Raw genomic sequence first — 15,375 nt, forward strand, 5'->3', positions numbered from 1 at the left:
CTTTGGATATAACAACCACTCGTAACATAATTTTAAGATAATCATGGAAAGTTAAATATTGTCGGTGTTTTGGATGATACCAAGGAAATACTGATAATTTTGTTTGGTGTTATAACAATATACATTTATATAAAATGTCCCTTTTTTTTTTTAGCACTTGTAGAATGAAATGACTTAACGTGGCCAGGCATGGTGGCTCACACCTGTAATCCCAGCACTTTGGGAGACCAAGGCAGGTGGATCGCTTGAGCTCAGGAGTTCGAGACCAGTCTGGCCAACATGGTGAAACCCCATCTGTACCAAAAATACAAAAATTAGCTGGGCATGGTGGCACGCATCTGTGGTCCCAGCTATTCGGGAGGCTGAGGCAGGAGAATCGCTTGAACCCAGGAGGCAGAAGTTGCAGTGAGCTGAGATTGCACCATTGCATTCCAGCCTGGGTGACAGAGTAAGACTCCACAAAAAAAAAAAAAAAAAAAAGAAGAAGAAAGAAATGACTTAATATTTGAGATTGCTATAAAATAAATACTAAATTAAAAAGAATAAATTATATATAAAAGGAAAAAAATTGAAGTCAACAAAAGTGTGCACATATAGACATATTTTACAACCATATCTTAAAGCCAGCATTACTCATTTTTCCCCTTTCCTCTGGTACACAAAATCGATTACACAACTCTTTGAAGGTGAAACATTTCTTGTAATTAAGTTCATTTTGGGGTGAGGAAAGAAAACTGTAAACATAGAATATCGGAAAGGAAGCTCCCACACTTATTTCTCTGTAACAACATTTCATTAAATTCATAGATGCTAGCCTTGAACTGAGTGATTGAGGAAGCTTGGGTTCTTCTGGCACTGCATCTGGCTTTTGTATGGTTGCAAGGTTGTGGTAGGGGCAAAGGATAAGTGGGTGGAAAGGCGTAAAGGAAGTCAAACCGCTTCACAAATGATTTGATGCCTTCAGACTTTGCAGATTAAATCAGTACTGAAGGGACAACCTTCACTGCACCAAACCAGGTTATGAGATTTCATTTATTCTGCTAAACTCTATTGTGATATTCTTTGTGTGGTGACATTTATTAAATTAGCCACATAGCTACCAGCTCTCTACTCCACTTAAGGCTGAAGGACTTCTCCAGTCTGTTTCTCTGTATTTTAAAATAGATGAAGCATAACATAAGTAGACTTAATGACAAGAGTTCAAAATTAATGACAACAATGCAAACCTGATCATTTGTGTTATAGGAAAAAGCAAAACCCTTCTTAAAATGCCTCAAGTCTTTTGTTTGCTGTGGTCCTGGAAATCTGGAGGTTTGAATGGTGAGTATAATAGGAACATCCTAGGCGCCATAACAGCCCCATAAATATCTCCTCAGCAGAGCTGTGTGTCTCCCCCTGGACTTGAGGAGCTTTCTTTGAAGTCACAGGGCAGAAGCTGTGCACGCGGAAGAGGTATGCAACTTATTGTTATCATTATTTGCCATTGCTTTAGAAGCTTTTAAGTAATACTAGATTTATCACATTTTTCTTAGCAGCAAATTTTAGTTTCATCTAGAGTTTCTTCTGAAGCCTGAACCAATAAACTGACTTGTCTTTGTAGTTGATCTGCCACAGTAGTTCCCATATTTTTCTGCCAAGAAGCCCTTTTAGAATCTGATTAAACGGGTAACATGACATTTATAGTTTCAAAGATTAGAACACCTGGAAGGAGGCCCAGAACTTACCCAGTCTCTTGGGGACCTTCTAGTACAAAGCAGACTGGACGTTGTTGGATGGATCTAACTCAGAGCCAGCTTTTGCTCCCATCTCCTCCTGAGGTCCACCCCCATCTATGGCAGCCCCCTTACGTTGCACTGCCTAGCACTGCACATAAAAAGTGCTCAGTAAAGGTTTCGTATTCTTGATTTAATTTTGCTGAGGAACCTAAAGGTAGTGTGCTTTGCATGTGATATAAACGATTTGATTTGCACTGGATTGCATGATATAACCATTGCATGGAAGGCGGGCAGACAGTTACAGAACCAGTTGAAAAACCTCCATTCCTGTTTAGGTTTACACCGTTGCTTTCTATCTTCACATAATAAACTCCATCATTTATTTCTTTAAAACACACACCCACACCTTGTTTTTTTTAATAATTACAAAAGTAAAACATGCACATAGTCAAAAAATTTAGTAAACATAAATAAGCCTTTTCATACTACCTATGATCATTGGTATTAAGTTTAGCTGCACTATCATTCTATTATTTCTGTGTGTGTGTGTATATCCATATTATCTTGTACTGTTCAGTTAAAAATGTGTCTTGCATTTCTGCACACATCTGCCCACTGTCTCTAAGCCTCCTTTGAAATGATTTTTAAAAGATTCATTTTTAAATTCAAACCACTGTAGTAGTGAAAAATGGAACTGAGAGTGGTCAGTGAATCAGAAAATTTGAAGGATTATCATCCATAGAAAAGAAAAGGCATCTGGTAAGTGGAGAAGTTGTGGCAGAAGTGACAGAAGCCCAAACTCCAGAGATAAAGACCAACCTTTGCAAGCCCCACCCCCACTGCCCCCAAAACAATCCTAGTTCAGAAATTACAAATTAGCCTGAAATGTTAAAGAATTGCATTTGGGATAGCTGGGATGGGTGGGGTCTGTCTCTCAATAGATAGAATAACTAGTGAGGCAGCTTTTGCCTTCCAAAGGATGTAGGAAATACGTCTAGGACGGCCAATGATGAGGGAGTTGTGGGTCAAAAAAAGGGACTTAAGTTTGAGATAATCTGGACCCCCATAACAGCTCAGGAAAAAAGACAGAGCCACTCAGCATTGATAACCCTGATGACCTTCACCCCAGAGATAAGTCATCCTGACTCTGGCAACTTTTCAGGAACCTCAGCCTGATTACAGACTCACTCCAAAATTGTAGAGCTCCAGGAGGCAACAGAGCAGTGTACCCAAAGGTCTGAGGGAAAGCAATTTTGAACTTAATTTTCTATATTCAGCCAAATTTCAATCAAGTATGAGGGTAAAAGACAGCACTTATAGACACATAAGAATTCAGTAAGTTTAGTAACTATACACACAGTAAGAAAAAATTACTTGTGAAGTAACCCAGCAAAACCAAAAAATAAGCCAAGAAAGCAGAAAAAGATGAGGTACAAGAAGCTTCAGTTACCTGAAATGACCCAGAAAGATTTACAGAAGTAAAAAAGAAATTTAAAGGTCATCCTTTAGAGAGGGATACACGTACTATCCTTGTTTGAGTGACAAAATATTTTAAATTAAGGATTATATTTTCTTCTCTATAGGTTCAATCATATTTATTTCTAGAGAGATTATATTAAGGTAATAGTTATTTTAATTCTTTTTTGAGACAGAGTCTCACTCTGTCATCTAGGATGGAGTGCAGTGGCATGGTCATGGCTCACTGCAGCCTCAACCTTCCAGGCTCAAGTGATCCTCCCACCTCAGCATCCCGAGTAGCTGGGACTACAGGCACATGCCATCATGCCTGGCTAATGGTAATAATGTTTATAAATGTTTCACATAGGTTTTTTATTATACTCAACCTATAGACAAAGAACAGAATACTAAATTATTGTTTTAAAAGCTTGTAATGACTATAAATGCTGATACAATAAAAAGTAGGAGTTCAACAGAAGGAAAGATGAAAAGCCACTCAAGTTCTAAATTCCTCACATTTTGTACCTAGAGGCCAATGGATAATGCCTGAATTTGATAAAAACAAGAAATAGAAGCATAATTATTTTTGAAAATTACAATTAAAACTGTTAGAATCAGAAGCAGAAACCATTAGCAGCATAGAGAGGGGGCAGTGGGGATTAGGGAAAGGGAAAACTTAGTTTTCATTTCACATATCCCTATACAGTGTGATTGTTTTAACCATGTGTAGCATTACCTTCACAGTTACATATCTTGAACCTATTTCCAGGTGTAACCCAAATGTTACCAGCTTGTGGACATAATTGAAATCACATTTATATTTATGCCCAAATTGTAATGGTGCTAAGTCTTCATTTGCTCATGCAGGAACTTAGCTCCCAGTTAGTGCCTCCCAGTTATTTCTTTTATATAAAAATATATATTTTTATTATACTTTAAGTTCTAGGGTACATGTGCACAACGTGCAGGTTTGTTACATATGTATACATGTGCCATGTTGGTGTGCTGCACCCATTAACTCGTCATTTACATTAGGTATATCTCCTAATGCTATCCCTCCCCCAGCCTCCCACCCCACAACAGGCCCCAGTGTGTGATGTTCCCCTTCCTGTGTCCAAGTGTTCTCATTGTTCAATTCCCACCTATGAGTGAGAACATGCGGTGTTTGGTTTTTTGTCCTTGCGATAGTTTGCTCAAAATGATGGTTTCCAGTTTCATCCATGTCCCTACAAGGACATGAACTCATCCTTTTTTATGGCTGCATAGTATTCCATGGTGTATATGTGCCACATTTTCTTAATCCAGTCTATCATTGTTGGACATTTGAGTTGGTTCCAAGTCTTTGCTATTGTGAATAGTGCCGCAATACACATACGTGTTCATGTGTCTTTATAGCAGCATGCTTTATAATCCTTTGGGTATATACCCAGTAATGGGATGGCTGGGTCAAATAGTATTTCTAGTTCTAGATCCCTGAGGAATCACCACACTGTCTTCCACAATGGTTGAACTAGTTTACAGTTCCACCAACGTGTAAAAGTGTTCCTATTTCTCCACATCCTCTTCAGCACCTGTTGTTTCCTGACTTTTTAATGATCGCCATTCTAACTGGTGTGAGATGGTATCTCATTGTGGTTTTGATTTGCATTTCTCTGATGGCCAGTGATGATAAGCATTTTTTCACATGTCTGTTGGCTGCATAAATGTCTTCTTTTGAGAAGTATCTGTTCATACCCTTCACCCACTTGTTGATGGGGCTGTTTGTTTTCCTTGTAAATTTGTTTGAGTTCTTTGTAGATTCTGGATATTAGCCCTTTGTCAGATGAGTAGATTAGTGCCTCCCAGTTATTTCTTGGGGCCCCTAAAAGAATCACTCTCACATAGGCATAGAAATATCTTTCAGCTCCAGCCACCATGGTCCCTTTTGCTGCGTTCTTTCTCCTCTGCTTCTTGGCACTTGATATATTCTTGCACATCATTTTTAAAGACAGTCATCATTTCTTTTCTTTAAAAGATCTTCAAGTACTTCTTGTCTCCCACTCCAGACTTTCTTTTTTTTCCACTCCACACTTTCAAATCAAAAGTCAAACTTCCAATGTAGAAAATGCACAGGAGGTATAGGAAGAGGGTAAACAACATAATGAGGAAACAACCAAGCACATCCCGAAGGTGTGACAGCCTGCAGGACAACTGGTTTCATCTTTTCAATTAGTCTACGTTGCAGTTGGTGCTACGTTCAAATTAAGACTTAAGGGACACAACAAGATGCCACAGCGTTCTGCGTTAGATTCTGTAAAGGACATTTTAGGGTCACTGGGAAATTTGATTTTGATCTAGTTGTTGTATGGGATAAAAACTGAAAATATCCCAATGGAAAGGTGGAGCTTATTGACTGATATAGTTTGGCTGTGTCCCCACCCAAATCTCATCTTGAGTTGTAGCTCCCATAATCCCCACATGCCATGGGAGGGACTCAGTAGGAGGTAATTGAATCATGAGGGTGGGTTTTTCCCATGCTGTTTTAATGATAGTGAATACGTCTCACAAGATCTGATGGTTTTTAAAGGTCAGATCCCCCGCACAAACTCTCTTGCCTGCCGCCATATAAGACGTGCCTTTGCTCCTCCTTTGCCTTCTGCCATGATTGCGAGGCCTCCCCAGCCATGTGTAACTGTGAGTCCATTACATCTCTTTTTCTTTATAAATTACCCAGTCTTGGGTATTTCTTCATAGCAGTATGAAAATGGACTAATACAATGACTAAAAAATGCAAGTATAGTATGAACTCATTTAGCAAACACACACACAGAGGGAAAGATCTGGAATAATATACACTAAAAATTAATGATAATGGCTCTTGTTGCTTAGGAATATGATGTTTTAATTATTAAAATATGTTTGTCTTTATTTTCTAATTTGCTGCCATATGGACTGCTTTTGTAATAATAAAAGAACTATAAAATTCCCCTGTGAATTTACTTTGTGAACTCTTGTCTCTATTGCCTTTGCCTTGATCTTGGATTCCTTCCTCCTCTATCAACATTTAATGCATGAGGAACAGAATGGGTCCTCCCAACAGGCTTCCCTTCTCTCCATCAGTATTTTGTTCTTGGAAATACAGAGGCTGTATAAATAAGCGAGCTGGTTGGCTAAAGCCAGTGAGTCACACAGCTGAGAGTCTTCCCAAATTCACCCTGTTTTAGGTAGACTCCTATACCACATGCGCATGCACACCTTGTGTTTTTAATTTCTCAGCATCACCATGGGAGATACATGACTATCTGAGGGTCGAGACATAGCACAGTCATTTTTCAGACCATAACAACGCACCCAAGTTAAGATGAATATTAACATCTCCTGTGCTCTTGCTGGCAAATAGCTGATCAAAACCTTAAGGCTTCCTCTGTCACAAAAAATAACACGAGTTCTGAGTGGCATGTGAGACTTAGCAAGAGGCCCCTCTCGCCTCACAATGTGAGCTGCACATGTGCACCCACACTTGAGTCTGACCCCTAAGCATTTCCAACACCAGGGATGTTAAAGGTAAGCTTTTTTGAAACAGCTCTTTCCTTTGTATCTTTTGCTCTTTACTCACAAAAGACAAAAAGAATAAGTGTATTTATAACTCTTTGCAACCAATGAGAATTCCACATGGGGCGGGGGAAGATGGGAAAAAGTGATCTGTAACCTTTCATGATATCCTGTTTGCCCCTCTGGGAATTTGTGTAAGCGAAGTCATGTCAGTGGAAGCAGCAACACATAATGATCCCTGGACCATGTATGTTGGACAGCTGGGAGACCAGAAATGATAGAGAGGGTGAGAATGAGCAAAAAATTTTAAGAAATTTAAGTCCAAGTGAAAATAGGCATTTCAGATGAGAAAGAGTAATAGTAAAAGACAGGTTTTCCAAATCCTCATGTTTAGAGAAGCTCTTGTACACCATAGCCCTTGTCTGCAATTGTAACATACAGTTCCAAAGAATTAAGAGCTAGGCAAAATAAAGTTAATTCGGATTCTTTTATAGCTTCACCGGTTGTGCCATGATTCAGGTGTATCGTGAGCCAGTCTACTGCAACTAGATCCAGGAAAGCCTTGGTAGAACAGTTCATCCACACGGATTACCACAGATAGCAATCTGATCTCCAGCTCCTCCATCTTTATCTCCATTCTCAACGTGAGTAATCAAGTCTAAGGGCCTTACAAAATAAAAATGCCTCTTAGTGAAAAGCTTCACTTTCCCTCATCTTTCTCCCCAAATAATCTCAGGACATTAGCACTCGAAGGGTCCTTATGAATCATTTGTTATAAGCCTCAAGTCTTACAGATGATCCAGGGAGGTAAAATGGCCTCCCAAAGTAACTAGTGACAAAATCTAGACCTGAATTCAGCTTTCCTAAATCCTAAGTCCAGAATACTTACAATGAGCCGCACACACTAACAATCGCTTATAGATGAAATATCTTACATTGTGCTTAATTTAGTCCTCTTCTGAGTAAAGGAAAGCAAAATAAAACAAAAATGAACAAAATCCCAAGAACACGTACCTTCCACCCCACCTTCTTACACAAACCAACCAACCTTTCCCTTGAGGACAACCATAAGGCTCTGCCACAATAATCTGTACCAATAAAAACTTAAACATGCCAACATCCTTAGAATAAAGTATAGAGGTCTTTGATTTTAGCCTGACAGAATTAATGATATCTTCCTACATTCTCTCACATAAGCACTTAGCATATTAATAGTTTGTATCTTTAATATAATAATTTCATTCTTTATCATCCTAAAGTTTTGCATTCCTCATTGCATTATTTGTAATTAGTTTTTGCATGGCTATTCCTTCCCATGTGTTGTAAGCCCTTGGATATTAAATTTATCTCTTTGCTCTTTTACCCCCTGCACAGAAGAGAAAGAACATATGACTTTAGATCAACGAGTAAATTGGCACAGTCACATTTTTTGAATGGCTCTTTCTTCCCTTTCAAGGGGATAATCTATCATGTTCACCAAGGAATTATGTTACTCAGAACTCCAGATTAGAACCTTTCATTTGCCACTAAATATTCCTAAAATGGATAAGATCTAGTAGAGATTTTGCAATTCCTGGCTTAGAACTGCAGTCAGAAGTGCCTGGCATAAGGCAAGCCCTATATAATTGCTAGCTATTCTTATTATTAACAAGATGTAGGTACTATTTTTAGGATTTGGAAGATAAACTGGAAAGCAGTCTGGCTGTCTTATAGCCTTTCTAACTCTATAATAATGACCCAGACAGAATCAGATACAAAATGTGATTAACCTAGATATTATTTGATCATGTTCAACACTTTCTGGACTAAGTATTACAGAATGTTGTTTCTCAAGGCAGCTGGATCACCAAGAAATCTAAGTAATTGAAACCAATTGAAGTAAAAGATGAACTCTCCTAGGCAAAAATACCTTTTCACAATAAATTCTTAAATAAAAGTAGTGCTGGATAAAAAAATAAGTTGCATTCCTTTGGTTTCCATCCCTCCATGATGCTAGCATCAGATAAGAGAAATAAATCATGTAACTGTACCTGGCTATGAAGTTGCTCTGGATTATGAGTCCACCACACAACACCTATGTAACTTCAAGCAAGTTACTTAACATTCCTACATCAGTTTCTTCATTAATAGAATAAGGATCATAATAGCCTCTCATAGATTATCATGAGGATGAAATAAGGTAAGAGATGTTCTTAGCACAATGCCTTGCACAGAGGATATAATAATAATTATTACTATAAGCCTTCTTATTGAGATATTTACATGCAACATTTAAGCAATTGTTCAGATAACTAATTCTATGCATGGAGGGGTAGGGAAGGAGAGGACAATAACTTATTTCCTCCTCAGCAAAGTAGCAATAATGATGCCTTTCCTTTCTCTTCCTTGAGTCTAATGTTAATCCACAAGTATTTTGAGATGTTCAGTAAAAAGAGAATGCTATTGCTGTAGGCAACAGGCAATGAGGGGACTGATGTGTGGCTTCTTGATTATGGAAAAATTAAGTATTCTAAAGGCCAGAGTTTGGCATCCTTTGGCACCTGAGTGACATTCCTCATCATCTCTCATTTGTCTTCATGAGCTCTAAGAACTAGCAAGCCTCCAATATCTGCAGACCAACGTATATTATTTAAGGAAGATGCTACTTGCTAAAACTCTGGATACAGATCAGTAGACAAAAAACAGCAAAGTGTAATAGATGACTTAAAAAAATTAGGAGTTTGGGGTCTGATAAGAGCTGGAAGTCATTCCACATAAGCTTAATTTTGTACTGCGGTTTGGTCAGGGCATATGGCCATCATATCTGGGGTAAAACAGGCCAGCGCTTCAGGGACTGAGCCCTTCAGAACCCTAGGGCTACTCAGAGGTTCCACAGTTCCACAACTAGGGTTCATTGCTATCTTCTTTATACAACATGCGGGTGGTCCCTTTGAAAAAGTTCAAAACCCACTGAACTAGCAAAGAGCATAGCCAAACCCCAACAACATTTTGGGGTACCTAAATGACCTAGGTACTCTAGGGACCACAACTTAACAGATCTAAATTGCAGCTAAAATTAAATAAGATCTGATCTAGCCCCTCCTCACATTCCTCCCATGCTTAAGAACCTATGTATAGTGTGTCCTCCAGTTCTCATGGAACTGACATGCCACCTAAGGGCCATTAAAGCCCATGTACCTCTTTAGTTAGCATCATTTCTGGAAGAAAAGGTTTAAGGGTAATAAAAGCTTCTTGCTGAACAGGTGAGCAAAGGTTGAAATTAAACATCTAAACAGTGTATCTTTATTTACACCAATGATCCTAATTAATAGCCAAATTAGTTGGGTTCATTTGTCATCCAACTCTACACTTTTGCCCTTGAGTCTCAGTTCTCTCCTTTGAAACCACATGGAATAATTTATTGATTCATTCCTACATCAAAATTTCATTGACTTCCACCAGGTACGGTGGCTCACACCTGTAATCCCAGCACTTTGGGAGGCTGAGTTGGGCGGATCACCTGAGGTCACAAGTTCGAGACCAGCCTGGCCAACATGGTGAAACCCTGTCTCTACTGAAAATACAAAAAATAGCCAGGTGTAGTGGCAGTCACCTATAATCCCAGCTACTCCGGAGGCTGAGGCAGGAGAATCCCTTGAACCCAGGAGGCAGAGGTTGCAGTGAGCCAAGATTGTGCCACTACACTCCAGCATGGGTGTCAGAGTGAGACTCCATCTCAAGAAAAAAAAAAATTCATTGACTTTCATCTGGTGAGGTTGCTCATGTCTGTAATCCCAGCACTTTGGGTGGCTGAGGTGGGAGGATCACTTGAGGCCAGGAGTTTAAGACCAGCCTGGCCAACATGGTGAAACCCCTGGCCAACATGGTGAAACCCCGTCTCTATTAAAAATACAAAAACTAGCCGGATATGGTGGTGCACACTTGTAATCCCAGCTATTCAGTTGGCTGAGGCACGAGAATTGCTTGAACCTGGGAAGTGGAGGTTGCAGTGAGCCGAGATTGTGCCACTGTACTCCAGCCTGGGCAACAGGACTCTCTCAAAAAAAAAAAAAAAAATTAACTTCTATGTGCAAGACACAGGAGTTTCAGAGTGAATCAGACCTGTTGGTTCCTGCATTCATGGAGCTTAGAATCCAGCAGGAAAGGACAGTCAAACTCATAGAGGATGACTTTGCTCCATTAGGCTCTGTATTATAAACCGAGAAAAGCTTTGCTGAGCTCCTCTGACAGAGTAAGTTCAACATCTTTTCTACCTGGGAGCCCTTCAAATATTTGAGGACAGCTATGCCATACTTTCTAAGCCTTCCAGTCTCTATCAAAAATTCTAGTTCCATAAGCCATAGAGTATGACTTTGGTTAGAATCCTTTACCATGTGTGGCTTCCCTTTGCACGTACATACCATCAACCTATCAATGTTTGGGGAGACCAGAAACAAGACTCGCTCCCACCCCGGTAAAGAAAATAACCCTTATGCTGAATACTCCACTTCTATTTGCACAAACTAAGAACATTAACATTCTAGGCTCATGCTGAGTTTACAATCAACTGTAGGCCCTGAGATTACCTAAACTGCCATCCCTGACGGTATCTTCATACACTGGTTCAATTATTTTGTATCTGAGTGTAGAATTCTATATTTACTCATATATTGATTAGTGTTATTTATAGTCAATTATTCTGCCTATTAAGCTGTTTTTGTATGATTGCGTCCTTTTTCTAATTTCTTTTTTCTTTTTCTTTTCTTTTTTTTTTTTTTTTTTTTTTTTTTTTTGAGACACGGTCTTACTCTGTTGCCCAGGCTGGAGTGCAGTGGCACCATCATGGCTCACCACAGCCTCGACCTCCTGGGCCCAATCCTCCTACCTCAGCCTTCCGAGTAGCTGGGACCACAAGTATGCACCATCATGCCTGGCTAATTAAAAAAAAAAAAAAAATCTGTAGAGAAAGAGTCTCTCTATGTTGGCCAGGCTGGTCTCAAACTCCTGGGGTCAAGTAATCCTCCTGCCTTGGCCTCCCAAAGTTCTGGGATTACAGATGTGAGCCACCATACCCAGCCTTCAAATTTCTTATCCTTTCTAATGTCATGTTTTCTACATATGAGAGCATTCCAACAAGCTCTCATCAGCCTAAGACCACCCTTTGGTGCTCTCTTGTATTCCATAGCATTTTGTATCTAACTCCATTACATTATATTATTGCCTTACTGTGATTATATTTTTACGTGTCTCTTCTCTCACTTATCTGTGAGCTCGTTAAGCACAATAGCTTATCTACCTTTGTATCTCCACTATTAAGCTCAGTTCCTGACACATAGGCTATGCTTAAAAGAAAAGCTGTTTATTTCAAAGAATGAATGAATGGGCCACTCAACCATTATGTCACCCAGGCCACATCGGTCCCAAGGTTACCATAAAATAGTTTATCAAATGCCTTATTGAAACACAAGTCTGTAGCTCTCCCAACTCTGCTACCTTCCACTTTAGATAAAAGTCACTTTATTTCTCTGTGTCTCCAATTCCCCATATGCAGACAGTGAAAGTTTATCAAGATTAATAAATGAAATAATATATGTAAACATGCTTTGCAAAACTGCAACATGTGCAAAAGTAAGATATAAGCATCCCCTCATTCTAGCAGCCTTATCAAAAAAGAAAATTATGTTTATTGGCCTGGCAAGAGCTGTGATTTGTGGCTTTCATTTAAGGGCAGGAAGCAAGCCCTCTGAAAAGAGTGACAGGGAAAGGTTAAAGGGATAAAGCCTGGAGCCAAATCCACCACAACCCCCTCCCCAGGCTCTACCGCACTTCCCACTCCTCTCCTCCGGCCCCCCACCCCATATGAAAGTTGATGCCTGTTATCCAGGACCTTTCCTTTTGGCTGGCCTTTGGGGTTTTCCAAATTCTGTGTTGAAGGGTCCAGAGAGGGTCTCCTGCCAATCCTTGTTTGAGTGGGCCTGTTGAACATCTTCAGCAGGACATCAAAGGGTACACAGTGTGAATGGGGAATTGTCTTTAGGAAAGAAGGAAGCAGAGAGATGGACAGACAGGTGGCCCTGCCCTACTGACTGGGTAGCAGCACGTGCAGGGTTTGCTGTGTTACAACAGGGTATGATTGTGAAGTACCAGCTGCCTGCCACTATTTATGGACATCTCTTTTTCTGGCTGGGTATTTTTGCCTTTTGATGATACTATTGTCCTCCTGAAGCTACAAGGAAGGAAGGAAGCTACAAGAAGGAAGGAAGACCATACCACATCAGGTGAAACATCCAAACAAGAGAAGGGTCCTCAGCCACCTGGGTTCAGGAATCTGGAAGCTAGGTTTCAGCTCGGCTGGAAAATCCACTTCCCTTGTGGCCTCCTTCTCCTAGACTTCTAAAGAGGATTTGTATTTCCGTGTCCTCAAGCATGGAAAAGAAAATCTGCCTTTGCCAGCAAGAAACAGCCAGCCCTACAGAGAACCTGAGCTAAGAGGAGTATCCTGTCAGCCAGATGTTTCATCTTGTCTGTGAGGGCATGTCTTTCTCCTTTGTCATTGTACCCCAGCACCTCACACAGTGCCTGACACATACCAAATTCTCAATAAATATGTGTTAAATATATGAGCGTGCTATTCTAGACTAACGAAAATGGGTACTTATGGCTCCTTGGGCAAAGCTTTAAAAGGGCAGCTATGCCTCCTCAGTTCAGCATTAAAGTGGCTGCATAATTACAGCAAGAAGAAACCCAGAGTTGTTCTGCAGAGCTAACTGGACAGGAGGATCCATCTCCTGCGTTCCACACTGAGATTCTCCCTTCACAGCCTTAGCTGATCTTAATAAGATGGGCTTATAGCAGCTTACAGGAGTGCAGAGGCAGAAATTAGCTAGCACTCTGCTATTTTTCTATTCAGTGCTCAATGACAGAGAAGCCCAAGTTCTCAAACTGAGTCAAAGATGAAGCCATAGAAAAGAACTCCTGAACGAGGTTCCCCTCAACAGTCTTGACTGTTATTACCATCAGAAACCTAACTCAGAAAACTGTGCTTTCTATATTTCTGAGAAGTTTTGTTCCCTCTGTCTGATCTAATTTCTTTTTTAAATGTTACTCTGAAAAAAGAACGTCTAACCTCTTTGGCATATACAAGAGGAAAGGGTCTCCCCTTTCCAGTGGTGGTGTAGAGAGCGGCTGGGTTCGTCCCTGAGGCCGGAGTGGAGATGACCGCAGCCAGGGTGGCCCTGCTCAAGTTGGGTCAGCAGAGCAAGGTTCCTTCCAGAGGGCTTGCCCCCGGGACAACTTGGAGCCTGCTTCTGGGGAGCCACACACGTCCTCTCCCACTTCTTGCTGGAGACTTGGGGACGTGAAGGGGGGGTTCTGTGATCCCGGAAAAAAAGTAACTTCTCTTGGTAGGTGATACTAGGCAGTTGCGTCCCGGGGAGTCCCCGCCTTTCTGCGCTTCCCCTGACGGGGGCACAGGGGCCGGCGTGCGTGTGTGGGTACGTAGCTCATCCCGGGGAGCTGGGATCCTCTTTTCCGCACTTGGGGAAGACGAATGCCGACCATTGGCTCAGACACCATACCACACAGGCATTTCTGGAGGCATTTCGCGGCGTTATTATGGGAAGTTGCGCGGACCGGGGCCTTCGCGCTACAGCCGAGGAGTCTCAGCGCCTGCCAGGCGGGAGCCGCACTTCCGGCGAGGTGTCTTCGGGAGGGGGCGCCACAGCCCGTGGCAGTGCCGGCCTCCCGCCTTAACCAGCCCGACTCCCGCCGCGCCAGCACCGTGGGGAGCGAGTGGGTCCCGCCCGGCCGCGGCCTGGACCTGGCAGCCGGGCTTCGTGGGCGCTCTGAGCCGTGGCCCGTGGCGCGGGGTGATCCTTGTGCCTGGCGCCGGCCTCAGAACCCCGTTTACGGCTTTCCGCGCATACGGAGGTTGCTGGGGACCCCGACACCTGCGCGCCCTCGACTGGGGCCCGCTCCAGCAGTGAAGACCCAGGCCCTTCCCTGGGCCGTGGCTGCTCTTGGTGCCTCATGGGAGCGCCCGGGGTAGGGACTCGGCTAGTGACCTGTAGGACATGAGGGGCGAGCTGGGAGCCGATTCGCCCACGGCGTCTCCTTCGCCATGGAGGCCCCCCACCCATTCCACTCCGGGGTTGCGGCCACGCACCATAAGAGCACCTTCAGGTCTGAGCTCTTTAGGGGTGGGAGTAGGCAGTTCGTGAGTCCGGGAAGGCCTGCGGGGTTTCCCGCCTGCTGCGGACTTAGCGTGGGGCCGACCGGGGCTGGCGAGGGCTGGCGAGGACTGGCGGGGACCCGCGGGGCTGAGCCAGCTCTCGCGAAGCCCTCAAGTGAGGAACGGCGCTTGTGGCTGCGCGCTCTCCGCAGCCAAGTTGCAGGGTCCAGCAGGGGCTCAGGTCCTGTTCCCTCCGCAGATCCCGGATCTAGGGCTCTAGTGGTCTCGGCCGGAGGGAAGGTGACGCGCAGTGGGCGCAGACGCAGAGTGCGGGGCGCCGAACGTGGGAAGGAGCGGGTTCAGCGCGCTGGTGAGAGTTTCAGGAAATCCGGGAGAGGGCGGTATTTACCAGTCCCTTCCCCGAGAGCAACCAGGCAAATCGGGGAAGGTTAGAGGTGGGGGACCTGCCTGAGCCGGGACAAAAAACTTTGGAGCTAGGGCCTTCTAACCCTGGAGACTTGC

At 42.6% G+C, this 15,375-nt stretch overlaps 1 annotated feature.

Moving 5' to 3' along the window:
• Positions 14,476 to 15,305: an enhancer, noted in NCBI's record as "H3K27ac-H3K4me1 hESC enhancer chr14:37116557-37117386 (GRCh37/hg19 assembly coordinates)". NCBI's record gives its function as "activates a minimal SCP1, AML or CMV promoter by ChIP-STARR-seq in naive H9 embryonic stem cells {active_cell/tissue: H9 hESC(naive)}" and the evidence as "EXISTENCE:reporter gene assay evidence [ECO:0000049][PMID:30033119]".

The sequence above is a fragment of the Homo sapiens genome, chromosome 14 (assembly GCF_000001405.40).
Source record: "Homo sapiens chromosome 14, GRCh38.p14 Primary Assembly".
Taxonomy (NCBI): Eukaryota; Metazoa; Chordata; class Mammalia; order Primates; family Hominidae; genus Homo; species Homo sapiens.